This window comes from Homo sapiens, chromosome 12 (assembly GCF_000001405.40).
Source record: "Homo sapiens chromosome 12, GRCh38.p14 Primary Assembly".
Taxonomy (NCBI): Eukaryota; Metazoa; Chordata; class Mammalia; order Primates; family Hominidae; genus Homo; species Homo sapiens.
In genome coordinates, this window is record NC_000012.12 from 51,045,470 (window position 1) to 51,047,941 (window position 2,472).

General features: G+C 48.0%; 2 annotated features.

The window, feature by feature from the left end:
* Positions 2,133–2,252: an enhancer, noted in NCBI's record as "active region_6366". NCBI's record gives its function as "activates an Ori minimal core promoter by ATAC-STARR-seq in GM12878 lymphoblastoid cells {active_cell/tissue: GM12878}" and the evidence as "EXISTENCE:reporter gene assay evidence [ECO:0000049][PMID:35858748]".
* Positions 2,303–2,382: an enhancer, noted in NCBI's record as "active region_6367". NCBI's record gives its function as "activates an Ori minimal core promoter by ATAC-STARR-seq in GM12878 lymphoblastoid cells {active_cell/tissue: GM12878}" and the evidence as "EXISTENCE:reporter gene assay evidence [ECO:0000049][PMID:35858748]".

Sequence of the window (2,472 nt, forward strand, 5' to 3'; positions counted from 1 at the left end):
AGAAAGAGAAAGAAAGAGAGGAAGGAAAGAAAGAAAAGGAAGGAAAGGAAGGAAGAGAAAGAAAGAAAAGTCTGAGGAATGACCTGTGTTCCTGCCACATTCTTTCATTGCATGAAATGCCTTCCCCTCTACTCCATCCTTTCAGACACAGTTCCTTCCTATTTTCTCCACAAAATTCTGATTTTGTCTCCTTTCCAAGAGAGTTCCAGAATTTTAGAGCTGAACATTCTTGAGTAGTTGACATGACTCAGAAGCTACCTGAAGATGGCTGGGCACGTTGGCTCACGCCTGTAATCCCAGCACTTTGCGAAGCTGAGGTGGGCAGATCACCTGAGTTCAGGAGTTCGAGACTAGCCTGGCCAACATGGTGAAACCGCGTCTCTACTAAGAATACAAAAATTGGACTGGGTGTGATGGCTCACACCTCTAATCCCAGCACTTTGGGAGGCCGAGGTGGGAGGATCACGAGGTCAGGAGATCAAGACCATCCTGGCTAACATGGTGAAACCCCGTTTCTACTGAAAATACAAAAAATTAGCCAGGTGTGGTGGTGGGCACCTGCAGTCCCAGCTACTCGGGAGGCTGATGCAGGAGAATGGTGTGAATCCGGGAGGCGGAAGTTGCAGTGAGCCGAGATTGCGCCACTGCACTCCAGCCTGGGCAACAGAGCGAGACTCCGTGTCAAAAAAAAAAAAAAAGAATACAAAAGTTGTCTGGGCATGGTGGCGGGCGCCTGTAAACCCAGCTACTTGGGAGGCTGAGGCAGGAGAATCACTTGAATCCGGGAGATGAAGGTTGCAGTGAGCTGAAATTGCGCCACTGCACTCCAGCCTGGGTGACAGAGTGAGACTCTGTCTCCAAAAAAAAAAAAAACAAAAAAAAAAACTACCTGAATATGAAGACCATGTCTTAGTCAACTTTTTTTTTTTTTTTTTTTTTTTTGAGACAGTCTCACTCTGTTGCCCAGGCTGGAGTGCAGTGGTGCGATCTTGGCTCACCTCAACCTCCGCCTCCTGGGTTAAAGCGATTCTCCTGCCTCAGCCTCCCGAGTAGCTGGGATTACAGGCGCCCACCACCACATCCGGCTAATTTTTGTATTCTTAGTAGAGATGAGGTTTCACCATGTTGTCCAGGCTGGTCTCGAACTCCTGACCTCGGGTAATCAGCCCGCTTCGGCCTCCCAAAGTGCTGGGATTACAGGCATGAGCCACGGCGCCCAGCCGTCTTAGTCAACTTTCTATCCCGTCCACCCCATCTACCCAACACTTGTGAAGATCCAGGGCCATCTTTTAAAACTTTTCCTCTGACTGCACGAGTGGTACAGTCATTAATAACCTGTGCTAATATAAAGCTCTGTGACCCATAAAGCATTATACAGATGTGGGAGCTTTCACAGCTGTATTCTCTTTGGATCCTCAAAGATTTCTTATAAAGTAGGTACTATTATAAGGGAAATAAACTCAGAGCTAAAGTGACATATCCAAGGTAACATTCACTAAAACAAACGTCAATGCCAAGATTGAACCTATATCCAGGGAACCCACATGGGATGCTCTACCACCTTCCATGAAGAATAAATATTCATATATATCCAAGAGGACTGTTAATTCTTGGAGGCAGTTAAGTACCACTTCTGGGAATCCTTCTTAGTTTCAAGTATGAATCTATTCAAACATGTTTACTGAACACCTACTATGTGCTAAGTAAGGCACCTAGTGTTGGAGGTGCAGCAATGAACAAGGCAGAGAAGATGCTTACCCTCATTCTAGTTCAGGGAGCTGTCAAACAAGGACACAAATACATAAACACTGTAAGTGACAGATGCTACAAAGAAAATACAAGGCCGGGTGCAGTGGCTCACGCCTGTAATCCCAGCACTTTGGGAGGCCAAGGCTGGCGGATCACTTGAGGCCAGGAGTTGAAGACCAGCCTGACCAACATAGTGAGATCCCGTCTCTACTAAAAATACAAAAATTAGCCGGGCGTGGTGGCGGACGCCTGTAATCCCAGATACTCGGGAGGCTGAGGCAGGAGAATCGCTTGAACCCGGGAGGCGGAGGCTGCAGTGAGCCAAGATCGCGCCACTGCACTCCAGCCGGGGCGACAGAGCAAAACTGTCACAAAAACAAAACAACAAAACAAAACAAAACAGAGTAACATGAGAATAAGTGTGAAGTGTGTCCTTTTCGCCGGCACTGCTTCAGATAGGGTGGTCACAGAAATCCTCTCAGAATAGTAACATTTAAGTTGAGACAGAGCTTGGTCTTCGGTAGGTGCTTAACGAAAACCATTTTCCCACAAACTTAGTTCTGGAAACGACAAAGAGAGGAAAAAGTGTACTCAGTCCGCACAGGGGCCGCTCCCAGGCCTCCAACCTTCGCCGCCAGACTGACTGGAAAGTGGACAGTTCCCGGCCTATCCACGCCGGCACCATTAGAGGGCGCCGCGGGTCCTCCTAGCCCCAGGCACTGG